This window comes from Homo sapiens, chromosome 8 (assembly GCF_000001405.40).
Source record: "Homo sapiens chromosome 8, GRCh38.p14 Primary Assembly".
Lineage (NCBI taxonomy): Eukaryota > Metazoa > Chordata > Mammalia > Primates > Hominidae > Homo > Homo sapiens.
In genome coordinates this window covers 69,485,321-69,512,892 of record NC_000008.11, presented here as the reverse complement: position 1 = coordinate 69,512,892, position 27,572 = coordinate 69,485,321, and the positions used below count along the sequence as shown (strand labels likewise).

General features: G+C 40.3%; 1 protein-coding gene across 32 annotated transcripts in view; it reads right to left on the bottom strand.

The window, feature by feature from the left end:
* Positions 1–27,572, bottom strand: part of SULF1 (sulfatase 1) — a 194,132-nt gene that overhangs the window by 148,020 nt on the left and 18,540 nt on the right. For 11 of the 32 annotated variants that reach the window (NR_182050.1, NM_001412841.1, NM_001128204.2 and 8 more), the window contains exon 2: positions 10,925–11,019. The gene's annotated coding sequence lies outside the window, so the exon portion shown is untranslated. Of the gene's footprint in view, positions 1–10,924; positions 11,020–16,966; positions 17,129–19,767; positions 20,047–24,466; positions 24,530–27,572 lie in introns of those variants that run through there. The other 21 variants (NR_182051.1, NR_182053.1, NM_015170.3 and 18 more) reach the window with 4 other exon arrangements.

The window sequence follows — 27,572 nt, the reverse complement described above, 5'->3', positions numbered from 1 at the left end:
ATCACATTTTAGCTTTTCATAAGTGTGGCACAAGGGTATTCTGGCCTATGTCAGTTGCAAGGCTCTGCCCATGAAGGGTATGTCTGAGGAAGCAAGAGCAGTCTGGGGTGTTGTGTAGGGAACCTGGGGAACCTAGCTAAGATGAGATATGTTAGGGCCAAGTTAAGAGGGGGGAGGTGAAGGAGGAAAGAACACTCGTGCTAAGACAAGGTGAGGAGAAAAATGAATGCTTCTCGGTTATACGCTCTCCAACCAGCTCTAGGCTTGACGTTCTGCACACAGCTTCTCTTTGAGTCCCTCACAACGATATTATGAGGTAAATGCTGTTATCCACATTTTACAGAAAGGCAATCTGGGACCCAAAAGAACATGCGGCTTGCCCAGATTCACAAGCTGGTAAGTGGTGGAGTCTCTCCATTGTCTTTTTACAATACCATATTTCTTTCCTCATACCGATGGTCCTTGGCTGGCTTTGAAAAGATTTGAACTGGATTCTGTACATATAAGAAGCCATGGCCCTGTTGTTCATTTCAGGCCATGCTGATGATCACCTTTAACTTTCACTTGGTAGATGTTGGTGGGCTGATGGGGTCTACAATACTCGCTCAAGAGGCACTTTTTCTACTCTCCCTTTGGTGGAGCAGGGACTTGCCAGCCCTTGGCACTGTCACATACTTAATGACAAAGAAAGAGAAGTAGGGAAACCGAACACTATGTTTGTTACTTTGAGATCCTATGGCAACATTTGATATGTGACTTGAATTTTGAATTTTAAATATAAAGTGTTGTTTTCAAAAATATAAAACACAAGCAGAATTAGTGCTCTATGCTGTGTGAAACATCTCCATAATACTTAGGAAACTTCTCTTCGTGATGCTTTTTTTCATCATTCTCTAGGAATTTTATTTTCATCTTTCAATGAGGGAATCTTAATAATGGCAAAATAGAAGGGCAGGATGCTATTCTGTGCAGTGTTTAACCTGGAGCTTTAAAATTAGATCATTTAAATAGTGTGGCTAATTATAGTTGTAGCTGTAAAAAAGTCATCGAATGTATATAACTTGCAAACCAGTAAAAAATGTTCTGATAATATATGTTATTATACATTTGTCCAAACCCATAGAAAAAACAACACTAAGAGTGAAAGCTAATGTAAATTGTGGACTCTGGGTGACAATGATGTGTCAGTGTAGGTTCCTCAATTGTAACAAATGCACCACCCTAGTGGTGGATGTTGAGAATGGAGGGGCTGTGCATGTGTGAGGACAGGGGTATATGGGAAATCTCCGTACTTTCTTCTCAATCTTACTGTGAACCAAAAATGGCTCTAAAAAATTAAGTCTCAACAGATGTTTTGATGAGGCAGATCTATTTTACTCTTTCGTGAAGCTCAGCATGCAGCTCTGTGATGTTGTACTAGGGGAGATGCTAGACCAGAGTAAAAATATCCAGCCAGTTAGGGCTCAGAATCTGGACCCACTGAATCTTAAAAGTCTCCATCAGGAGGATCTTTTTATCGGATTTTCGTGATTATTAGTTGTTATTTATTAGTATTTGTCAAATCATGATTGAATGGGAGAAAAAAATCTGAACCAAAGGGTAAACAAATCCAAAGAGAAAACAAAAATTAGAAAATTAAAAACTGGTTTAAAAAAGGTTTTCCATCTGTACAGATGCTGATAATATATTCCCAAAGTAGTTTCCCATTCATTGCTTAATTTGGTTTTCTCAATAAGTGTCACAAGTGTGCAAATGTACATTTTAAACATGTAAGATTAAGGTATTGTTATTACTATTATGTGTGAGGCACATGCATAGGTCCTGCTCCTGTCTAGTACTGGTTTCCAGAGGGTGGGTGCAGAGTCCTGAGACAGGTTTCTACAGAATACCTGATACATTGACAATATGTGTGTGTGTGTGTGTGTGTGTGTGTGTGTGTGTGTGTGTAATGATGATATGGACTAACATTATTATCAGGCTGGGCATGGTGGTTCACGCCTGTAATCCCAGCACTTTGGGAGTCTGAGGTGGGTGGATCACTTGAGGTCAGGAGTTCGAGACCAGCCTGGCCAATATGGCAAAACCCCATCTCTACTAAAAATATAAAAATTAGCCAGGCATGGTGGTGCCCACCTGTAATCCCAGCTACCTGGGAGGCTGAGGCAGGAGAATCACTTGAACCCAGGAGGCGGAGGTTGCAGTGAGCCAAGATCACACGACTGCACTGCAGTGTGGGTGACAGAGTGAGACTTTGTCTCAAAAAAAAAAAAAACAAAAAAAAACCCACCAAAAAACCCAACACAAAAACATTATTTTCTGCTTTGTGAATTACTGGATTTTTGAATTTCTATAAATAAAAATAGTTACTGTGCATAAAGCACTTTACTAATTGTTAAGCATTGTATGGGCCCTTTATACATTTGAAATCATCTAATCTTCAGAACAGCATAATGAAGTTGATGGCATTACTGGCCCCTATTTTTCCAATAAGGATACTGAAGCATAAAGAAATTAAGTCACAGTTAGCAAATGGCAGAGTGGAAATTCAAACCCTGGCAGTCTGGCTCCCAAATCTGTGTTCCTAACCATTAAACCATACTTCTCTCATGGGTCTCTCTAAATTAGGACAAGAAAGAGCTTCCCATTTTGAGAAGACAAGTTCACTTTTGTGGGTGATAACTCTTGAACGCCTCCCAAAGGCTTCCTAAGGTAGGAAGGGCTCTTTCTTGCACTACCCTGACATATATCACTGCATATATTTTCAGACATCCACAAAAGCCAATAGCTCAGCTAGTTATAACTAGGTGCATACATGGTATTACTGTCTACATGAGTTACAGAGAAAAAAAATCAATGTTTTTATAGTCAGAATTATTGTCTGTCACATTTAGAGGTTGGCTATCACTAGAACAGTCGTTCAAACATGTATGCACAAGTCATGTCATACAAACTCTGTCTTAATATTTTCACAACCAGAAAGCTGTTTAACCTAAATGGACTTTCAAATGAGAAATGTAAACTACATTCCTCTCCTTTTACCCAGGAGGGACATTTCAGCACTTACAGACTACTAAGCTGATACTGTATATGACATTTGAAAAAATTCCTCCATAAGTCAGTGCTTGGGGGTAGAAAAGGCAAAAAGAAAATTGAATATTTCCCTGTGAGAAGGGCAGCCTCATGACACGTATGGACAGTGAGCAGAGGGATGTCATTTTTTGTCTCTGGCTGCTGTTTGGGGAATCCAGATGATGACAATTTTTCAGTCACTTTAGTGCCCAACAGGAGCCAATCAACAAATATTAAAAGCAGCAGCACATGTCCCAGGTGAGTTAATTATAGAAATTTTTTCTAATCCTAAAGATGATTTGAAGTCAACCCTCAGCTGAATTCCAACAACAAGTATCTAATACAGTATGTGCTATATTTTTCACTTTTATTTTGAAGGCTTAAGCCAGTAAAGATTTTTCATTCTATTTTGTTTTGTTATATTATTTTTTATTTTTAATGCACTGAATACATAGTTATAATCCTGGCAATTCTATGGCCTTCCTTCTTTTCAAGAACATTTTTGAATTTTTGCCAACCATTAAAAAATACACATTGGGATTAGTTTACTGGCAGGCAGAGACATAAAACTAAAAGGATAATGAGAGAGAAATAAGGTGATGGAAATAGCACAGTTATGATGGGAACTAATGATCACCATGTAATGCCTTATCCTTTAAATATTACAACAATAACAATCGGTTGTGTTTGAGTGGCTTCATATGTCTACTCCCCCTACAAGTGCTTTTATGTTCTTGGTCTTTACCACATCCTAGTGAGGGAAATGGGACAAGTACATTCTAATTTTGTAGGAAATTATAGAGTAAATTAGATGACTAAAACCAGAGCCGATATCTTGACTCTCAGCACAGTGTTCTTTGGAGAGAAGAATCCTATGAGTCATTATATTATGGCTACTTACCATGAAGAGAGATACTCACAATACCTATAACGCCTCCAGCACAGCACCGACTGCTCTGAATGGCTGCTAACCTTTCTCCTATGGCCACTGTGTCCTGCTGGGCATCATACCTCGGGCTAGATCAGGCTCCCATGAATATGGCAGGATGGATTTAATCTCCTGGGGTATTTATACTTCATGTAATAAATACAGTTTTTAATGCAAAAATGCATCAAATCATTTTCGGGTAAAAATTTAAAACCTAGTAATTTTAAAATTAATTTTATGGTGAATCCCATTGTCAGATACCAGGACTCACTTATTTGCTTTGTAAATAATGAATTTGCTTAAAATTCCATCTGTATTTTCAGTGCTAGTGTCAACTGACTGCAGATAATGAACTTAGATTTCTTTAAAGGCTACTAATAAACAAATAGAAAAGAATATTAAGCACTTTCTTGGAAACTTGAGAACTTCTGATGGTGCTGACAATTTGTTTGGAAATATTTTAGTTACTTTTTATTTTTAAATAATTACCTGGCCGGGCCTGGTGGCTCATGCCTGTAACCTCAGCATTTTGGAAGGCCAAGGTGGGTGGATCACCTGAGGTTGGGAGTTCGAGACCAGCTTGATAAACATGGAGAAACCCCGTCTCTACCAAAAATACAAAATTAGCTGGGCGTGGTGGCGCATGCCTATAATCCCAGCTATTCGGGAGGCTGAGGCAGGAGAATCGCTTGAACCCAGGAGGCGGAGGTTGATGTGAGCTGACATCGTGCCATTGCACTTCAGCCTGGGCAACAAGAGCAAAACTCCATCTCAAAAAAAAAAAAATAATAATTATCTTCTCTCAAAAACCCCACAGCTGAATTACCTTCTTTTTAAAAATAAGGGTAGCAGGAATCCCTGAGGTTTACTTTAGTGTCTGCCAAAAAAGGACTCCTTCAAAATGTGCCTCTTTTCATTCTGATGGCCACGATCCAAAGCAGTCTTCAAATATATTTGTCCCATACACATCTCAGCTTCCCCTACATGCCAGATTATGACACAAGGTTCTTGAATAATTTGAGAGCAAAATCATAAAACAAATATGAATTTCCACTGTAATCCATTTTTTTTTACATTTTCATGTAATCTGCAAGAGAGAGAAGGACCTCATATCTCAATATGTTCGTACACCTGAAGACCAGTGGCTTACTAAAAAATATTTTTTTTGCAAATTCTCTAAACTGCAGATACCAATGTAAAAAGCCTATAGTACTTCAATTCTCCTATTATAAATATTCCTGCAGTAAAAATATCCTCAAAAAAGGCCTCAGCCAATGGCTTATTTGTTTTAAGCCCTATTTAATGCAATAATGACAGAATCTTAATAACAGGATTTGACCCCACCACCTAATTATTCCAGGAATGGCTTCTTAGAAAGTCTACTCTTCATTTATAATTATGATGCACTCTTGTGAAATCTAAGCAGATAAATGCGGTCAAATTAGGACACCATTGAGAAAAGGAACCTAAAATTGAATATTTGCCATTGGAACTAAGGACTCAAGATCAACATAGATCAAATGCTTCCTCTGTAAGTGGAATTAATCAGCCCTACAAATTCTCTAGCACGATACAAGGCAGTATTTCTTCTTGGGAAGTGACTTCCTGAAACCTTCCACTGAGGAATATATTCCATGTTAATTTCAGTATGCCATTTAAAATTATCCTGCAAAAAAGGAACCAATTTAAAACATCTGGCCTGATACCAGATTGAACCACTATATTCTGCCTCTTTGAATTCATGGTGTTGTAAGAATCCAGACACTTTTTCTATCCTAAACTGTGGCATGGTGATCTGAAACAAATGATGGTCCAGTGTGGGCCATTTCAGCACTGGATGGAATGATTCTGCACTTCTTGACCTGTCTTCAAGATGTTTGGGGAAATAGTTTCATGTGAGCACGGCCCCTTAGGCCCTTCCTGAGAGCATCACCGCAAAGTAATGTCTCATACCAACTTGCGCTTTTGAGCATAGAACAAGACCATTGTTGTGTGAGCTGATTTCATTTTAGTGACTGCCTCAGTAAAGAATGACATCATCCCATTCTTTTTCCTTAATATCCACTTGTGAATGTCCCCCAGTCCCCACCCTCATCGTAATTAAACTCCTTTCCTTGCCAGGGGAAGAGCTATTTTTCTCTTAACTTCCTGCCTGAATGTATCATTATGGCAAGAGCAAAGAGTTTTCCTTGGGTTGGTCAACATCTCTGGAGTTTGCTTCCTCACCATTATCAGGCAAAGCACAATTTTACTGGCAGCCGAAGCATACTGACAGAGCCACCTGCTGGGACAGGTCTCAGTCAGATGGGAGGAGAGAGGAGCCTGCAAAAGATGGCACAGCCTGATGGGCACAATGTTTCTCATCCAATTGGAGTTTGGCATTTTCTTTAAACATAAGCTCACTGGCTTTGAGGACTGTGGTCTAAGCAGATCCATTTAGCTATGTACATACATGGGTGCAAATCTGTGTGCTTGTACATACTAACATTTGCTTATCACTTAGATTTGCATTGAAGTCTCACATGTGAAAGTGATTAGTCTCAAAGGGATAAGAGGATGGTGCAGGAGAAGACAATTTAAAAACCATCATTAAAATGCAACTAAACAGAATGGCTACGTGAAGGGAGGTATTGATTGTGTGTGTGTGTGTGTGTGTGTGTATGTTTAGTGTTATCTCTCTTATAAAGAAAAAGCATGAGCAACTTATATGTCCCACATCCATGTAATGGAACACAATGCACAAATTTAAAAGAACTAAAAAGACAATGCAGAAATTGTATGAACCGTTTTGACACAAAGGTAGGTGAAAACAAAACAATAAACATTGTACATTCTCCATGTTTCCAATTTTATAAAATATTAGATAATACCCTATGAAATCACTGCTTTTGTAGGCCAACAATAGTTAAATAGAAGCAATTTTCTATGATTCTACTTAGTATATACTTATAAAGAAAAGACCAACTGATTTGGGTTAAGTGTGTGATTTAAAAAAAAAAAACTCTTAAGCGACTGTTATATGGTTTTTACAACAAATACCTAATTTTAAATGAGTTGATATTCTGTGTAATAAATTGTCCTCTTCAATGAGAAATGTTTCAAAATATGTAAGGGGAATCACAAAGGAAAAGAGTCTACTTTTTAGCACCCCCAAATATAGGTCTCTATATTCTGCAGCAAGACAAATTATCATTGTCTTGGTATCCAATATGCACTTAAAGCAAGACAAGGATAAGTTTTAGGGTCCACATCTGATATTGATTCCTTGAAAAGGTTTAGTTTACTGTTACAGTCTACGGGCAATTTTAAAAACCACCTACATTTAGATTAATATACTAAATTTAACTTAATAATTAAAATAATATTAAAAATAAAGTGCCAGGCACAGCTAAGCCATCCTTATAATAAAATTTTCCATCCCAAATAGGTATTAACAAGGCTAGGAAAAATCTTAATTTTCTCAAAAACAACATAGTTGCTGTTCTAAGTTATCCCATCTGTGCGCACCAAACCTTGTCCAACAGTGCAATATTAGTGTCCAGAAGGTACAATAAAGGCCATTCATATTTTGGCAGGTGTATTTTAAGCTGAAAACCAGGCTTCACACACATACACAAAAGCAATCTGTTCCATAGGTGTAAACATTTTTGATGAGAACCCTCAAAATCTCCCCCAAGCTGTGAAATTTAATTGTCCTTTTGGTGTCTTCTCATATGTGAATACAACCTATCTCTCCTTGGAACAAGGGACAATCTGGCAATCTGAAAGACAGGAAATGCTTGGGCAGCTTCTGAGATTTGCTTATAGTATCTCCTTGAACTTTCTCTTGGGTTATGTAATTTAGAGGTGATGCCAAGTTCAATGAGCTACAGGTAAGCAGTTCTGAATATTAAATGAAAGAACTTTATACCCAAATGATATGAGCAGAGAGGCAATCAAAAATGCACAGGGCAGCATTTTGAAACTCTAAGGTCCAGTAAAGTGGTCCCTATTTTATAAACATGATTGTCCAAGCACATACCCAAAAACATCCATTTCTTTCCATAAAATTGACTAGAAGGAGGATTGTGGATATATAAATACAGAGGTAGTGGTGGGAAGTGACTCGTCTGCTTATCTAATTCAGCTCAAATCCTGGAGTTGGTTGAAAAGGGGCAGAGATCTCTGAAGCCAAACATTAAATTTGAATTTTCCAGCCCCAAGATTAAAAAAAAGTAGATTGAAGCCAGGTCTCATACAGAATCCATAGATTTTCAAGAAAAATGTTCTGTATGTTAAATTTGAGCAAGTGAATCTAAATGATCCAACATTAGACACTTATTTTATTTATTTATTTATTCAGAGACAGAGTCTTGCTCTGTTGCCCAGGCTGGAGTACAATGGCACAATCTTGGCTCACTGCAACCTCCGCCTCCCAGGTTCAAACAATTCTCCTGCCTTAGCCTCTTGATAAGCTGGGATTACAGGCGCGCACCACCACGCCCGGCTAATTTTTTGTATTTTTAGTAGAGATGGGGTTTCACCATATTGGCCAGGCTGGTCTCGAACTCCTGACCTCAGGTGATCCACTGACCTCAGCTGATTCACCCACCTCGGCCTCCCAAAGTGCTGGGACTATAGGCGTGAGCCACTGTGCCCAGCCTAGACACTTACTTGTATTTTCCCATAATAAAGATGTGCTGAGAAGTGAAGAAGACATAACACAGTGGTGAAATCACACATTAGGGGGAGAAAAGTGCAACATGAAAGATTACCAGCTAGATAACAAACAACATGGCATTGTAGAAAAGTGGCCTTTTCATGGGCGCAGTGGCTCACGCCTGTAATCCCAGCACTTTGGGAGGCTGAGGCTGGCAGATCACGAGGTCAAGAGATCGAGACCATCCTGGCCAACATGGTGAATCCCTGTCTCTACTAAAAATACAAAAATTAACCAGGCGTGGTGGCACGTGTCTGTAGTTCCAGCTACTTGGGAGGCTGAGGCAGGAGAATTGCTTGAACTCAGGGGTCGGAGGTTGCAGTGAGCTAAGATCGTGCCACTGCATTCCAGCCTGGCAACAAAGGAAGACTCTGTTCGTTTTGAAAAGAAAAAAAAAAGGAAAGAAAGAAAAGTGGCTTCTTCATAGCATAAGAGAAACTAAGAAAGATACTTTGAGAAATCAGATCCTCAGGGACCTCTTCAGAAGATGAAGGGTGCTCTTGTAGTATCAGGGGTTTTCCAGTCTCTTCTACGGTTAATTTTGAATGGTATGGCACTGAAGGCCAACCTTGTTTTTTCCAACATAAAAATTGATGCATCAGGCTAGAGTTTCACAAAGAAAATTGTTCACAACCTGATTCAAGAGATAAATAACTCTTGAGAAGTTCCAGTTCTGTTCATTGAACTTATTAGTTATTCAATGAACTTGTTCATTGAATTATTAAACATTTATCTTTTGAAGTTACTGTTTTAGAATATTTCCTTCTTACGTTAGAGCTTTGAAGTAAGGAGACCTAACTTTCAACTTATCTTCTCTTACTGTGGATTCAGCTCGTTTATGACAAGCATCTGATACAGTGCTGTAATCAGCCATGGGGGTTAATACCCCATGCCATCTTCAGACAAAGCTCCAAGAATTCTAGAAAAACTGCTGATGCTTATAACTTTATGTCAAAGAACTAACCTGTCTTATACACTTTGAACCATTCACTTTCTTCACGTAATACTTGTAGAATGAAGGCAAAAATGTTTAATTCGATAAGTATTAGAAAGAGAAGCTGGATAAAACAACCCTCAAAAGGCAAACCTGAAATTCGGGCCAGACTTGAAGACGTTGCTTTTTAGGTGAGGTTCATGAAAGTTTTGGTGATTACAGGACTTATTCCAAGCCACCTTGGGCCAACGGAAGGCTTAGAATAAAAATCAAGCAGGCTGGTTGTGGTGGCTCACGCCTATAATCCCGGCCATTTAGGAGGCTGAGGTAGGTGGATCACTTGAGGTCAGGAGTTCAAGACCAGCCTGGCCAACATGGTGAAACCCCATCTCTGCTAAAATACAAAAATTAGCTGGGCGTGGTGGCAGGCGCCTGTAATCCCAGCTAATCGGGAGGCTGAGGCAGGAGAATTGCTTGAACCCAGGAGGCGGAGGTTGCAGTGAGCCAAGATCACACCACTACACTCCAGCCTGCGTAACAGAGCAAGACTTCCTCTCAAAAAAAAAAAAAAAGAAAAAAAAAGAAAAAGAAAAGAAAAAAAAAATCAAGCAAATAGCAATGATTCTGAAGAGTGACTAATGAAATAGAGAGGAACTGAACATTTTCATTGCATTAGTTTTTAGGGGTGAAAGGGAGCAACTCTCAAAGTTGACATTTGAAAAAGCCTCATGAGGTTGTACCCTCATATGAACCCAAACCCTAGAAATGTTTTTGCCACCAAGGTGAAATTGCTGAGATGGGTTGCCACAACTCTCCCTGGCTCCATGAAAGCTCTTGGCACTAATGTTTATCTGGCCAAGGAAAGAAACTGTGAAGACGAGCTGTGAATAAATCAGATATCTGTACAGCTTTCACTCCTGACACTGTGGAGTATGTTGTGGATGGCTGTGCATGGCGGGCCTACCACACTGCCCCCTAATTCCCCTGAGCTTCCTTCCTGAGCAGCTCATAATATGTCAATAGTCATATGATTGTTTAGATTCCCATTTTTCAGATGGTTCTTCTGACATTTCTTAGGACTGATTTCGTGACATGGCTCTACCACGTGGAAGGCCCCTTTTAGCTCTCTCAGTCAACAAGAATGAGAATGTGATGGGAAGGTAGAGGACCATTGACTTTTCAGTTTCTGCCAGTTCTTAACAATTCCCCAACCGTGAAATGTTCCCCTCTTCAAGTGACATAGAGTGCCCAGGTGGTCCTTGGTTTAAGCTAGAGATAAAAATTTGATGAATACCTTTGAAGATTTTCTGCAATTATTCTGCCTTGAAGAACCTGCATGTCATTTGCCAAGTTTATCTTCTTTAGATGATGGTGGGTGGCCGTCAGCACCTACGATGGAAAAGAGCAAAATTGCCATCAGTTACGTTTTATCAGCAATTCCTCTCATCTTTCAGATGTTGCCCTTTCACAGCCTCAAAGGGGGTGATCATTAGGAACAATATTCTCTAAATTTCATCCAGACCGATTTTCTTACAATCACTCGCAAGAGTCTTTGAAGCATTGTGGGTGATTCGGTCCTTTTGTAGAAGTTTCTATTTTGACTGCTTCTCCAACAAGGAAAAGACTTTCCATTAGATTCATTTCATATCATTCTTTGACTGGATTTCATAGAACCATTAAAGAAGAGTTTCCTTTTAAAAGTTTACAAAGTGTTCCAAGTTTAAAGGTTGAGTGCTGTCTAATTTCAGGTTGGGAGACCTATTTTAAAGGAAAACGCGCTGAATCATGGAATCTTTTAAAGTTGCAGCAAGCTATTATTTGATGACTAGCAAAGTAAGCATTTCCAAGTGGTAAAATTTGTTTATATTCCACATTTTTGACAGCTGAAAAATGTAAGTGATTAAAATAAATTTGAACACTTTGAATATGAGGAAATTCCCATTTTAATGTTTTAAGTATCAAATGAAGCAATCTTGCTGCCATGAACATCTGACATATACATACTGTATGTAAATGTGCATATGATATAAAAGAGAACATAATATAAGATAGAATAAGGAAATGAGACCTCTTATTTAACAACTCAGAATTTCCTTCACATTTAAAAAATATTGATCATGCCCATGTAAATATTAATGTTTAATAAAGCATTTCATTTAAAGTCTTCATACTTTTCCACTGGTGACTACAGTTGTACCTTCGTATACATATGGGGGGATCTCAGAGGTAATGGGTGCAGATTTTTTCCCTCCATAGGCCTGGAATCTCTTTTTATCCTGAGCTGGCCTTGGCGAGTCAGGTTAAGCCCCAGGTCCTTTGCTTTGCTCTGGATGGATCACTCCTACCACAAGATTGCTGCAGCAGTGCCTCCTTGGAGCTGGCCTGGTGCTGCAGGATTCACTTTCCTCCCACACGACTCTCATCACCCCTCTTTCCACTCCAAACAGCAGTGAAACTCCGCCGCCGCTAGTTTTATGCCACCCTCTGCAATGTGGCCCACCTCACCCATTAGGCCTCTAGATCACTCGCTTCACTGTGCTTCTCCTCCTGGGGGTTGGGGAGTTCTAGAAGAACTTTTCCATCCTGTCTCCATGGTGCTGATATCACAAATTATTAGAAGCATCATGCAGATGCCCACTTGTAAAATATGTTCTGAGAGGACATATACATGTTTGTGCTTATAATTGTATGTGCACCTCATGATCTCCTACAGTGAAAGTTTACATCTGAATGTGATGTCAAAAGTATCTGGCTGTGGTTAGGCTGGCACAGTCTGATGTCAAAGAATACCTTTTCTGAGACTGTTCTGAATATGCTACCGGGCAGCTGAGTCTGGAATGAGATGCCGGAATACCAGGCTATGGCATTCACTGGCTATGTGGCCTTGAGCACATTACTTAATTTCTCTATGCCTCAGTATTCTCCTCTGACAAATGGGAATTTAAAATGGTATCTACCCCATAGGGTTGATGTGAGGATTACATGAAAACATTCATGTGAAAAACTTGCAAGACGACCTAGCACAAAATAAGGGTTCAATAAACATCGGCAATCATTATTACTTGGACTGATTTTTTTTAGACCAGTAATAAAGATACAACCTTCCTTGCATATTTGCAATCAAAAGACATTTTCATGAAATGAGACCAGAATTTTCTTAAATTTTATAAATGTAGACTTTGATTTCTCATCATTAAAATGATAATGTGTAGGCCAGGTGAGGTGGCTCATGCCTATAATCCCAGCACTTTGGGAGGCTGAGATGGGAGGATTGCTTGAGGCCAGGAGTTCAAGACCAGCCTGGGCAACACAGTGGGACCCTCATCTCAACCAAAAAATTTAAAAACTAGCTGGGTGTGGTGGTGTGCACCTGTAATATCAGCTACTTGGGAGGCTGAGGCGGTAGGATTACTTGAGCCCAGGTGTTTGAGGCTGCAGTGAACTATGATCACACCACTGCTCTCCAGTCTAGGAAACAGAGCTAGAATGTCTTTAAAAAAATAAATAATAATAATGTGTGGTATAATCATATAATAATTTAATTGTTATGGGCTATTGAAGAAAGAACAGAGGCAGCCTAAGTTCCTGCTGATATGTGTATGCACGTGAGAGTCAAATACTTCCTGCTGTGTTGTATGAAGGTTTGTTTGTTTCCCAGAATAGAGAAGGGTGATAGGATGACTTGGCCCTCACAGTTCTCAGCTCCAAAATCTCCACCCCAGAGGACTGATTGCCTGGATCCTTTCTTCTCTATAGGTGCCATCTTGTAACAGTTCCTTATAAACAGGTGTAATTCTTAATATGCAATAGAAATTCCTTTTGTTAAAATGTTTTTTCCAATTTCATTAATGAATACTTAGTTAAAACAAATTTATTCTTTAGTTTCAGCAAAACAGCATCATCTGGCAAAGAGGATTAATATGAATTAGAGTATTATTGGTGTATGGGTTTCGTTTATCCTTAGAGACTTATTTTGAAATTTTAATAGTATAAATAGAATTATGCTAATGTGTATTTATAGCTATACAAACATAAAACAACTTATACATAGCTTTTTGGGTACATATTTCAGTAACATTTTAATAGATAATAATGTAAGTCTGGGACCCGTTGCAGTGGCTCATGCCTGTAATCCCAGCAGTTTGGGAGGCCGAGGCGGGCAGATTGCTTGAAGTCAGGAGTTCAAGACCAGCCTGGGCAACATTGTGAAACCCTGTCTCTACTAAAAATACAAAAATTAGCTGGGCATGGTTGCACATGCCTGTGATCCCAGCTCCTAGGGAGGCTTAGGTGGGAGGATGGCTTCAGCCCAGGAAGTCAAGGCTGCAGTGAGCCAAGATTGTGCCACTGCACTCCAACCTGGGTAATAAAGTAAGACTCTGTCTCAAAATAAATAATTTTAAGTCTGTACTGGAGCTCCATGGTCCATTGCGTGGGTGGAGAAATGTTTCCTCAGGCCAGCTTCTTTGGGGTCCCACCCATAAACAGTCCTCTCTCTGCTTTCACTCCTCTGTTCTTTATCTGGAAAAGTCCACTTTTCTCTCCTCCACATATTAAAACTCTAATCTCCCCTCTGGGATCAGCTAAAATCTCATTTTCTGACAGCCTCTATTTTCATTAATCCCTGTCACTAGAACTCATAACATTTAAAACCTGTGCCACATAGTGTGGTACTTAGTTTACCGTCTCTATGGCCTGCATGCAGGATGGTCTCATCTCTCTGGTCAGGTTTCAGGATCCCTCAGAGTGAGGGTTGTGTCTTGGGCTTTGTCTCCATCTTATGGGATCACAGTGTGGCCCCAGTAACTATTGGAAGGTGGCTGAGCCTCACTGTAAAGGACAGTCAGGATCTGAGTCACCGATGGATCCTTGGTTTGTTTTAGAGTTTATTCAAGTTTTGGTTAAAAATATAGACTCCAAGACTCTGAATGTTTTCTCAAGCAATAATAAATTGTCAGCCCACAGTGCTGAAGCTGGCCACACAAACTTGAAAGGACCAGGAAGCCAGTGGCCTAGCTGTGGATCATTGCATCCCTTTCTTTTGCTTAAGTCAGACTTAGGATGTTTTCTGTAAGTCATGACTCAGTACAGCTCTGATGTGTGTGTGCTTGTGAGTGTGTGTGTGTGTGTGTGTGTGTGTGTGTGTGTGGAGAGAGAGAGAGACAGAGAGAGAGAGCACTCATGAGTCTCAGTTTTTCTGTTCCTATAATGAAAGGATAAGGTAAAACTGGAAGACCTCCAATATCTCTTCTTACTCTAAAATTCTATAAAATGTTGGACATATGGTGATTAATTTGACATTACCATCTTCAAGTAAGTGTGGGTGTGTGCCAGAATTTCACCTGTTGAGAATATATCGAGAAGTTAAGCTTGATAGTTTAACAGCTGTACTTTAAGAGTTTGGTTTGGCTTTGCTCTCTGTGTCAGTGTGTTACTGCAGTTAGCACTTAGGAATCCATGCTATAAAGCAACTAGATGATTGAACTTAACTCTCTTGGTTGTCCCCGTTGTTCAGAAATCAAGCTGCATTTCCTGGCTCTGAAACTTTGTAAACTCATCAAATTTTGCTGCAGAGAAATGTCATTAAAATAACAGTCCTTAGTGGAAAACACTAGCACCATTCATCAGTAGCAAAATGCTGAAACAGTAACTGATATTTTTAAACTGTGAATTGGAGGCATTTTTATATACTTTACACATACACACATTTAGACAGATGTGTAAGGTAAATGTTCATTTTTCCTATGCAGTTGTCCTTTAATTGTCTCTTAAAAGTGGCTTTAGTCTTGTTGCTTAAGAACATTCTGGGCCGGGCCTGGTGGCTCATGCCTGTAATCCCAGCACTTTGGGAGGGTGAGGTGGGTGGATCATGAGATCAGGAGTTTGAGATCAGCCTGACCAACATGGTGAAACCCCGTCTCTACTAAAAATACAAAAATTAGCCAGGCGTGGTGGCAGGTGCCTGTAATCCCAGCTACTCAGGAGGCTGAGGCAGGAGAATTGCTTGAATCCAGGAGACAGAGGTTGCAATGAGCTGAGATTGTACCACGGCACTCCAGCCTAGGTGACAGATCAAGACTCTGTCTCAAAAAAAAAAAAAAAAAAAAGAGAAAAGAACATTCTGTTTTAGCTTCCGTCACCTTGGAAAGTAATAACTGGTTCCAAACTGCTTTTCCTAAAGGGTTGTTGGAAGGTCCAAAGTGTGCTCATTAGAAAACTCATGCTGAACCACACAAATCTTGCCATCGTGGATGGTGCACGCATGTGGGACTATTACTTCATACACAATTGACATGGGGCCAGAAAACATGTGAACAGGAAGCCAAACCCAAGAGAAAGTTGAGGAGCTTCCAGCTTTCCATGGAGCACAGAAAGAAGCAAAATCCAGCAACAGTTTGGACTCAGGTGTCTGGGGAACTTCACAGCTGCGAACTATCCACTCTTTAAACACTGCAGAGGCAAAGCACAGTGGCTCAGGCAGCACCCAGTTGGGAGTAAATCATTATGTCGGCTAACCTAAAAAGATTGTGAGGGTGTAGTACTTGCTTATGAAGCCAAGTTTAAATGGCTTGAGTAACCTAAATGTGGAATGACCAGCACCATATATGGAAGCTCAGTATATTCTTCATACTTCAATTGTGCTAATGGGAATTTCCCCAAATATATCTTGTTCCTTCCTTAAATAATGAACTTTCCCATGATGCAGTCATCTTATTCAAAAGTATATATTTGGTGATTATTTTGCATAGCTGAGATGTTAACGGTTCCTTTTTGGGACACTTCTTTTTTTATGGCAAAAGCATTTTAGCAAAAATAGAAATGTTTTTCACCATTTCAAAAGTCAAAGATGATTTCCAAAGTTTGGTGAATTAAGTGAGCCATCAGAAGTGGAAGAAATTCAGATTGTTATCAAATGCTATCTTTCTAATAAGTGGTAAGGCTCTTTATATTTAGAGGTGGAAATAGCTTTTTAAATCTGTTTTTAAATGTGTTGATACAGTTCACGTACCAGAAAGAAATATTATACCACTTTGCAAGACTAGCCATAAAGTCTGGGGCTAAGCCCCTTTTATAAGAAATGGCATTTGCTCTGAAGTGCTCAGGTAGGGTAACAGCTCTGAAATCCAGGAAATCCGATAGAGGCTTTGCCTAGAAGATTAAGTGCTGAGCACAGAAAGGGTGAAAGGGTATAAGAAAACCAGGGTTATCAAGTAATCAGACCTCAAGATTTAAAAAGTCACAGCTTCCTGCCTGCTAATCAGATTGATTTCTATTCATTCAAAATGTTAAAATTCTTCCAGTTGTCATCTTTAAAAAATTTGCGAATGTTACCCACCTCTCCATTCCAATTATGCTCTCTTCAAGAGTATGGGAAGAATTTACTGGTCACACTGAAGAAGGATGAACTTATTGTAGACTAAATAATGACCAGGTAAGAAATTACTTCCTTTGTGTTAGTCTCTGAGTGAGTTCCTTGTTCAAGAGAAGTGAAGAATCCCTGTTAAGGAAAGGGTTTGTTTTTGATAAGTATTACTTCTTCATGCATATGTGCTTTTTATGAATAAGTATTCTACTAGCTCATAGATCTTTAGTCTCTGCTCATTTCTGAAGTCTCTGAAGAAGTAAAAATTACTCTCTTTGAGGATACACATAGCTACAGGCAAGACTGCCCTAGACATGGGCTTCCTATTGAAAAGTTAATGAGAAAAAAATTCATTTGGCAGCAGGGACACAAGATTAAAGCTCTGATTTCATTGAGTCCAGATAGTGACCATTTCTTGGGGGGCATTAGAACATAGTAGGGAGAGCTCAGTCTTTATGTATCTCCTCAAAATTTCAAAGACAAAAATCTAGCATTTTTTTTTTAAAGAGCCAGGGTCTCACTATGTTGCTCAGGCTGGAGTGCAGTATCTATTCACAAGCTTGATTATAGTGCACCATAGCCTTGAACCTCTGGGCTCATGAGATCCTCCTGCTTCAGCCTCCTGAGTAGCTGGGACTACAGACACATGCCACCACATCCAGATGATAATTTTATGCTTAAAAAAATTGCTTTTTATTTTTACTCAGCGTTGCAGTCTAACCTCTTAGTGATATCTCAACCTGATATTACTCCAACTAACTCAATTTTCTTCATAAACCAGTACCTCCTCTTGTTCTATGGTATTCTATTACAACTACCCAGTAGCCCAGGCCCAAAACTAATATTATAAAAGTTTCCTTTTCCTCCATTCCCTTCATCCAGCCCTGAGTCAAGAATGTTCTACCTTCTAAATATTTCTGGAATCTGCGCCCTATTGTCCACCTACACTGCTCAGTGCCCCCAGCAGTTCTCACTGGAACACTACAATAGTCTCTCTCTTTTTTTTTTTTTTTTTCCTTTGAGATAGGATCTCACTTTGTCACCCAGGCTGAGGTGCAGTGGCACAAACGCAACTCACTCTAGTCTCCACCTTCTAGGCTCAAGCGATCCTCTTGCCTCAGTCACCGGAGTAGCTAAGACTACAGGTGTGTGTCACAAGGCTCAGTTAATTCAGTTTGACCAAACTAAGCCTGAAATCCAGATCTCATCAAAGCTTGTGTTCCTTCTATTATGATTGAGTTTGCCTTTGAGGCTAATGCTGAGATTATGTGGTTCATCTTTGTAATCAAATTAGGTAAAGTATAGAATTTAGTGTTGAAATATCACTTTTAAATTTAGGGGTAAAAGCAACTAGAATCCAATCTTATTTTTGACTTTAATTATACCTTAGAATTTCATGGGAGCCACAGAGAATTCTAAGGGAAAATATCATTTAAAGAGAATCTAAAAAAAGACATAATTTTATAATATTTCCCATGTGTGTTAATAAATACTGAATAAACATTGCAATCTGAAAGTTGATGTGAAATAAATTTCTCCACTTGATCCATTTTGGATGTTGTACTATCATATAACATACTGAGCACTAGATAGATACAACAAATGTAAGAATTTAAGATAAAGACACATATACACACTAACATATACATACATACTATACATGGTTTTCACATCTATTCATCTAGAGGTAAAGATGATAAAGCCTTACAAATGAATCACAGCACTTACAGCATTAAAAGTGAGAGGCCTTGCTTTTCTACATTATTACCAATTTATAGTTCTTAGTTTTCTTACCTGAAATCTTATTAAAACAATAAATCTCTGTATCTCATAGCATACCAAGTTATAATCACGGTTTTATAAATGCAAATTGTACAATTGCCCAAAATAGACCCTTTGTTTTTTGGCTTGTTCAAATAGCAAGTCAGAGTTGCTAAGTATTCAGAAGTTGTGTCTTTCTTCATGTTATTCTAGAGTTTTAAATTCACCTCTTGTTGAAAAGCAGTTTCTCAAAGCAGTGAGCATAATCTCTGAGAAGAGTACTCTGTTAATTCAGCACTCTTTAAGACACATAGTTTGATAACAGGGCTTTGAGTTTTGCCTGTGCTTAAAAAGTTAGTGTCCATGTTTCTTTAATATTAGAACCTTCGGTTATGCAGTGAAAAATTTAATAAAAATTCACATGTCCACTATAGCTACAGTGTTTTGTACAGTTTACCCAAGCCAGTGCAAGTTTCAAGCCTGCACTGAAAGATGGGATTTATTTCGTAGTGTGAAAAGAAACTTTCAACAATTACAACTGATTGAAATTGTGAGTACCCAAGGCAGAGAAACTGAAGACCAAAGTGGCATCATTTCTCCTTGTCTAACAAGCCAGGTGACTAGGGCTCCTCTTAAGGGCAAAAAGGAGTGTGTGTGTGTGTGTGTGTGTGTGTGTGTGTGTGTGTGTGTAGTGTTGTGTGTGTGTGTGTGTGGTGTGTATCAACAGCCAGACATCACCAGAATGCTGTGAAAGTGGCCAATTTCAGTACCTCGCCTGGGTACTATTTTGTTAAGTGAATTAATTATCAACAGAAACCTCTTTCCCCTCTTATTATCATTACAAGGGACCAAATTTGGGTGGAAGACTTTGGCCAGAAACATACTTTCCATCATCTGAGAATATAATGAATAATAATATGATGAATAATGAATAAATAATACGAAAAGGACAGGGACAGGAAGGAAAGTTTGTCTTCTTTCTTTTTAAAGTAAAAGCAGAGCACGATACTTACAAAAGCCGCCTTCAAAATCTTCTCTAGAGAAAAAGCTCTGGGAACAGGGAGGAGGCAGAGGAGCAGAGATAAGGTGGCAGCGGGACTTCCTTCCTCCTCCGAAGGGGGAGAGTCATGTTCCTCATCTGCCCTGACCTCCGAGGAGCGCCGGCAGCCGGGAAGGCCTGGCCTCTGATCCTCGCTGCCCTCGCTCCTGGCCTCTGCGCCTGGGGTTTCCTAGTTGCCGATCAAGCCGCCCCGGCCCGACACCGGCCCCAAGATTCATTAGCGACGGTCTGCGAAGTGCTCGCAAGATGAAGACGGTTATATAAGCCCGCGTATTATTATCATCACACACCCCCATAGAACCAACGCTGCCAGACAAACAAAAGGCAGTTCCAAGAAGAGGAGGAGCAGAGGCAGAAGTTACACTAAGGGTGAATTTCGGGACACGGCTGAAAGGACTGGGGGAAAAAAAAGGGCAACTGAATATGTGCATGCAAACCTCGGCAAACAAACTGCGCTGCAGCCGGCCGGCTTGGACGGCGGCGGGCAGGGGCTCAGGGTTTCCAGGCATGTGGTTCCGGCTCCCTGAGCACCCGACACAGTAGCTGCCTGTGGCAGGATGGAGTGGATGGGAAGATGTGGTATTTGGAAAGCCAGGCGTTCCAGAGACCAAGTGCTTAGTAAACACTGATGTTTCTTAGACTCAGACCAGGTGCTTCTGCTGGTTCTCTTTATTCCTGGTCTCTTGTTTTCCTAAGGATGGTTGGCCAGGAGTTCCCTGTGCCCTGTCGACCCCTCTAATTTTAAACCTCTCTGGGTCTCTCCTCTCTTCTCTGTGGGAGCAATAAACGGAACCAGAGCGCTCTTTCCACTGAGCCTGGGTCCACTGAGAAAGTTCTGATTATTCTGAGCACCAAGCTTCCCTCCCCGCTCCCACAACTTGCTACTCATATTTTCTTTAAATTATTATTATCCTGTCCTGCGCCTGCCACTGCTTCCCAACACGCAAAGAAATTCCTCATCCTGGCACTCAAAGCCCACAATTTCTGTCTCCACACTAATTTCCCACTTCCCATCCCGCCCTCCCGCCTCACCTACTCCCCAGCACGTTATAATGTGAATCATTCTCTAAAGACGGCCTTTCAATTCTCCATTTCCCATCTTTACTCATACCCCCATCCTCACACCCACTTCCTTCAAGGCTCAGTTCAAATCCCGCCTCCCCCACAAAAGCCTTCCCCAATTTCCCCTCTTTTCTCCGTGTGACTCTGTTTCTCTGTTGTCATTCCGCATGCGTTGTCTGTCTCCATAGGTTTGGAACCTTGCGTTGTTCTCCCTGGTGGCCCAGGACAGGGCCCTGCATAAAGCAGGTGCTCAGTGAGTATTCACTGAATGAAACTGACAGCTGACCAGATCTTACCTGCATTGTCGCCAGCTATATGGGCATAGGTGAGAGCCACCACATGGTACTAAAATATGGACGGTTGTCGGATATATGCAATAGGTTCATGAGGGTGTGTAAATTTGCATAAGTTAAACAAGAAAGCTTTTCTAAAACTTGAAGGGGAGCCTCTAAACTTTACTCAAGTCAGCTTACTTTAGGGCTTAAGTTCATGAGGCAAACAAGAATGTTGGCATCTGTTGTTCCTTTGCTGCTGCACATTAGAGGACCTGTAAGTGCAACTTCCTTTACAGAATGCCAGGAAAATTCTCCAAAGGTGAGATTTTTCAGACATCACTGGCTTCTGGGACTGATTTTATGGAGGAACTCCTCCATTATTGAAATAATATGTGCTATCACAACAGCAGCTCAGCAAATGAACAACTGCTCTCTGGTGAATTGTTTTATGATATGGGGTGAAATATAGAACATGAGCTGTCAGATACTGAATTTCTTGTGGCTTTGTATTAAAGTGTTCTTAATGACATTTCCCCTGTTATTTTTTGGTAAAAGTAACATGCTTCAAATTCCACCTGTGCTAGTTGGATCGACCGTGGTGTCATTTAAGAGACTTGGGGTGTGTCTATGCAGTACATGCTCTCCACGCATACAGATTGTTCAGTGAATTAGAAGAATTTTCCCCCCTCTACTAATTTGGAACAATTAAAACCAATTCAGGTTTTAAAGAATTTTGGCCTCAAGTTCCTGAGGATTCGGCTTCAGGAATGACAGCGATCTTACTGCAAATTTGTAGTTCAAGTGTAGGATCATCTCTCATTTTGTTATGCTCAGGTGAGGACCATAACCTTTATTATAGCTACTATTTACAAATCCCTCCTGGGTTTCAGGAACTGGCCTAGATGCTTTACATGTCTTTTTAACCTAGCAGAACTATTTTTGTTTTCGTTTACAGATGGGTAAATTGAGTCTGGTCATACAGCTTAGAAAGTGACAGAACTAGGATTTGAATCTAGGTCTGATTCCATAGTCAATGATTTTTCTATTCTACTGAAAGCTGGAAGAAACCTGAGATATTATCTCATCTGGTGGTTTTCAAACTGGGTTCCAACAAGCTTTAGGCTTTCAAGGGGTACTTCAGGAACCTTGGCAGTGTGTGGGAAGGGGACGAATGTGAGGGAGGCCAGGCAATCTGGCTTGGACTTTACTCAGTTGGAGTCAAATGGAGAAATATTATCTCCATCTGTTTTATAGAGTGACTTAAGACTTTGTTTGAGACAATGGTTTTGTTGCTAAAAAAAAATTTTTAAACTCTTGTTTAACTTCCTCATTAAAGAGTATAGCCATGCATGGTGGCTCATGCCTATAATGCCAGTGCTTTGGAGGCCAAGGCGGGTGGATTGCTTGAGCCAGAAGTTCGAGACTAGCATGGGCAACATGATGAAACCCCGTCTCTGCAAAAAATAAAAAAATTAGCCAGGTGTGGTGGCGCATACCTGTAGTCCCAGCTACTTGGGAGGCTGAAGTGGGAGGATCACTTGAGCCCAGGAGGCAGAGGTTGCAGTGAGCCCAGATTGTGCCACTGCATTCCAGCCTGGGCAACACAGTGAGACCCCATCTCAAAAAAAAAAAAAAAAAAGAAAAGTATGGAACTTGGGATCCAGAAGATAAAATGCCTTGTCCAACGTGGTATAACTAAGGATGACAGGCCCAGCATTAACTTCAAATGTCCTTTATCTAAAGGATGCAAGAGGCCAGTAGTTTCAGACAGAGCCTGAACATCTCAAGTTTTGTCTTTTATATAAAGGACATTTGTTAAAAACCAGGGGAAATGAGAGAATCTACATTTCCCTGACCTGTGTGTGTCCCGACAGTATTCTTGAAAAACGGAAGGCGGGGGCCGGGCGCAGTGGCTCATGCTCCTGATCACAAGGTCAGGAAATGGAGACCATCCTGGCTAACATGGTGAAACCCCGTCTCTACTGAAAATACAAGAAATTAGCTGGGCATGGTGGCAGGCACCTGTAGTCCCAGCTACTTGGGAGGCTGAGGTAGGAGAATGGCCTGAACCTGGGAGGCGGAGCTTGCAGTGAGCCAAGATCGCCCCTCTGCACTCCAGCCTGGGCGACAGAGCAAGACTCCATCTCAAAAAAAAAAAAAAAAAAAAAAAGAGAAAGAAAGAAAAATGGAGGGCAGAAAACAGCCACAGTGGCAAGCTAGACTTATTTTTTTTTTTTAGCCCTCTGGCTATAAGTCTAAAGTTTGTCAATATTTACCTTGTGACAGACTAAAATTAAGTAAAGAGTTAAAGATGTAATTTGTCTGGATGATTTAGGGCTCTCCTACTCTTTTCATTCAAACCAAAGGGAGGAGTGTAGGATACTTCTGCATGAGTCATTTAGCTAATTACATGGTCTTGGCCTGAGAGTCCTCCTGCTAGAAAAATTGCTTAAACTCCCATTTTATCAATCTAGTCAAAAGTGGCTCTTTTCCTGTGAGACAAAATAGGTGTGGAAAAGACCTTAGAGAGATCAGGCATGGTCAAGGGAACATGAGTCTCATATAAGTCGGTTTAGTTTGTATGGATCGGCTTGTAACGCCTAAAATCTCACGTGTTACCTTGGTATTTATTATCTTTGAGCCTCATCAGGACCCCCCAAGGCCTAACTGTGAGCTCCCCTGCTTTCATAGATATGTCCCCTCCAGCAAGAAAGGACGCCCACCTGGCTCATTCCTCTGTCAGCTGGGCCAGCCTCACTCCACCAGGTCTTCAACCTTATGGGTTTTACTTCCTTACCAGCCCACACAATTATTCAAACAAGCCAATTACACCTTCCCCGGGGAGCCTCAGGGCACCGCATTCTCTTGTTACTACTGCCTCCTGCAGCCTCTGCTTGTCCACTCTGTTCCCGGTGCAACCCCTGTGTGCCCTGCATGGTATGTGTTATCCTCCTTCCCTGATCCTCCTTCCCTGGGCTGTGAGTTTATGTGACTTTTAAGCTGCTGTGGCTGTCATCTGTCCACTGTTGGGTGCTGTGTATTTGGCCATCCCCAGATCCCTAGGATGGCCTCCCTCCCTCACCAACAGGGTGAAGAGGAGGCTGAATAGAAAAAGATCAGACAGTAGTAGTAATACTAAATGGAATTTTCACCGAGAACTAGTGCCAAACAGCCCATCCGTTGGAGTTTTGCTGTTAGGCTATTTCCAAATAGAAATAAATTTTAACTGAAACGATGTGAGCTGGAACTGACCTTTATTAATTTCAGGGCCCCTGAGTTTTCTCACTTGCTGTTTTTAATTTTTATCATTCTCACCTGGAGAGTTTTGGGAGCAATAGCACTCTTCTCTTTCCTGAGATGGCTTAACTGTAGTCCTGCCTAGAGGCAAAGGGACAAAAAGATGACACTTCTACTCTTGTCATTTAAATCTTTGCTAACTGCATTATTTCAGTCAAAGGTAGCAGGAAGAATTTTTTCTCATCTCCACAGGCAAGAGATTGTAATAGACGGATCTTTTTTTTTGCCATCAGAAACAACCTAAAATTAATATATTTCCAGAGTCTCAGCCCTAGAAACAAAGCTTTAGATGTTATTTCTTCTCCTATTCATGAGATTTACAATAGGAAGGTCATGTTTGCACTAGACTTTGGTTTGAAATTAATCTTCTTTTCTCCTCGGCATTTCTATAGAATCCAGGCACTTCATTATTTAGTCATTTCCAAATATTAAATAGTTGTCATTCTTGAACAACGATCTAATCTTCTCTTTATGGGTGGAGAAACTGAGTTGTGGAACTTACAAATCATTGCCAGGACATAGATCACTCTGAAGGTTATGGCTACTCACTGACATGCTTTTCGACACACGTTCTTAGACTACAAAATAAAAATGTAAATTGTTTTATAAACAGCATGAAGACCATCCTCTGAACATTAGATTGTATTAATTAAAAGCTCATTTGCATTGTGCCTTATGAGAGAAACTTTATGAAATAAATAAATATGTTTAAACCCCACAACCAAACTCAACACTGAGGCTGTGCTGTAGCCACCTCCCCTCTCTTCTGAATTGTGCCTCATACAGATCACAATATATTCTTGGTTCAGTTGAACAAGGGTTCATTTAAACCACATCTGTTGCTCATCAGACCTCTATTTTAGGAGTGGGGAATTCTTTTTCAGAGATAGATTCTGTCTGGAAGGTCTTATGGCAACAAATAGTCCTCATTAAATTTCACAACATTTTACCAACATACATACAGTACTCGCTGTTACGTGATTATAGAATTCAGGCGAAACTCTGCACCCCCACTTCAAAGGATTCCTCACTTGACTAATTCTAAAGAGTAAATTGATTTTCCCATCATTTGTTGTGTTTGACAATAGAAAGGCTGACACAGCAAGATTGCTAAAATGACAGCTCATTTCTATTCAAGGGGAAGGAATTTGTGTTAATATTCTTAATGACAGGCATCTTTATGAGAAATGTGAAATCATTTATCCTTAGCAATAACCTGACTAGGATTAAAAAGTACTTGGTACTTAGAACGGAAGTAATCTGTCAGGAAAAATTATTTAGACTGATGCAAATTAACCAAATAAATTGGCCTGCAGTAGCTTCCTAATTATGGCGTGCAGATTCAAGTTTGTGAAAATCAGTTTGAACTGAAGAAGAATCTGGAAACGATCTTTCAAGAAGTGATCTGGCATTCTGTTGGAGGAAAAGATAACATATTTATTTGAGAAATTCTTTTCCCATTTACTAGGAATTTCTGGAAGTGATTTAAAAATCAAGGACGTGTAAATCAACAAAGAACATATTAAGTAAGTGCGCGCATGCCTTGCTTTTTCAGAACAACAGTAGTAATACCTTATGAAAATACTGAGCCATGTTCATTGTGATGCCCTAGATTCTAAATAACCAGTCGTGTTTTCTGCAGGGGCGGGGGAGTTGTTCCAACCCTCTCAGGGCTGGCTTGGGCATGGGTCCAAGGGACAAGTCTGAGACATGAGCACTTGGGCCAGTACTTAACAAGCAATGTATAGACTCGGCTGTGTGTTCTGTAGGAGAGTTGTTCTACTCTTAATAGGCACGGTGTTGCACGCCAGTTAACAAGTTTTTATTGGAATCTCAGTCTTCTCTTCCTCGCCAGCTTCACAGCAAACCTTCTTTTAGCTCTTTACCAAAAACTCTAGTAAACTGTGGGAAGAAGCACTTTACCAGCGTAGGAAATTTAATTAGTCTGGAAAAAAAAAGGTGTAAATTGCAGGAAAATGTAAACTGCCTCCATGTAATTAATGACTGGGTTTTCTGTTTAGCATTTATATAGAACTTTCTTTTGAGAAAACGCATGAATTTTTGGAGACAAACTGACTTGGGTCCAAATCCTAGCTCTACAGATTTGTGATTTTTTTTTTTTAAAAAAAGCCTGGTTTCTTTACTTAGAACTAGAATGACCAGTATAGGAATTACAAAATCTGAAAGGAAATAGCCGTGTCCTGCATGTGTAAGGACTCGGTATCGTTCAGTTTCTCCTTCCTTTTCTGAGAGTCTTTTATGGCATGAACGTTCTTAAGCACTTGTTCAGTATTATCTGCCTTGAGTGAGCAAAAAGCATATGCCCTTTCCAGGGAGCATTAGCTGAGGAGTGACTCTGACAGTTGCCCAAGTTTCTGTGTTTAAATAGAAATATTAAATTATATGAAGGCAAAACAACAGGGACCCAAAAAGATGGTGATTGACAATCATTAATAATAACCTGAATGTTGTGACTTCAGCCCGAGGGACAGGCAGTCATTCAAGCAGGTAAACTCAGAGTGTTAGGGTTGGTGTTTGAAATCTTAAGAAAGTTTTTGCTAGAAAACAGTGGATTCCAGACACAGAAAAAAATGAACACGGTCCAAGAAATTCAATATGTGCCAAATCCAGTTTTTCACCTCCTCTTCTTGTAAGTACGTAGAGGCATAGATTACAAATGTGAAACTGTACATGCCAGAGGGCAGGAGTGTGGGAACGCACAGGAGCAGGCATTGGGCGGAGAGTATAAAGAGGAAGCAGTGATGGGGACTAGGACCCTGGACACAAGCCGACTGCAGAGGTTGCAGTCTGTGTGAGATGCTGATAAGGATGTGCTGAGACTTAGACAGGAAAAAGCCTCATTCTGCAGAATCTGGAAAGTACCCATGTCTGGGGCTGGCAGGTGCATTAGGAAGAAGAAGCTGAGGCTAAGGCTGGAGCCTGAGGCAAGGGTGACAGACAGCCAAGGGAGTGACAACAGGCAGCGCCTACGAGGAATTGCTATAAGGCTTTGAACCATGCCAGGCTGAGTAACCTGAGCCCCATGTGTGATTGATTTCACGAATGCAGTTTTTACCCCGAAATTCCCTTATGTTGCAATAAAGTTAAGTTCTGCACTTAAGAT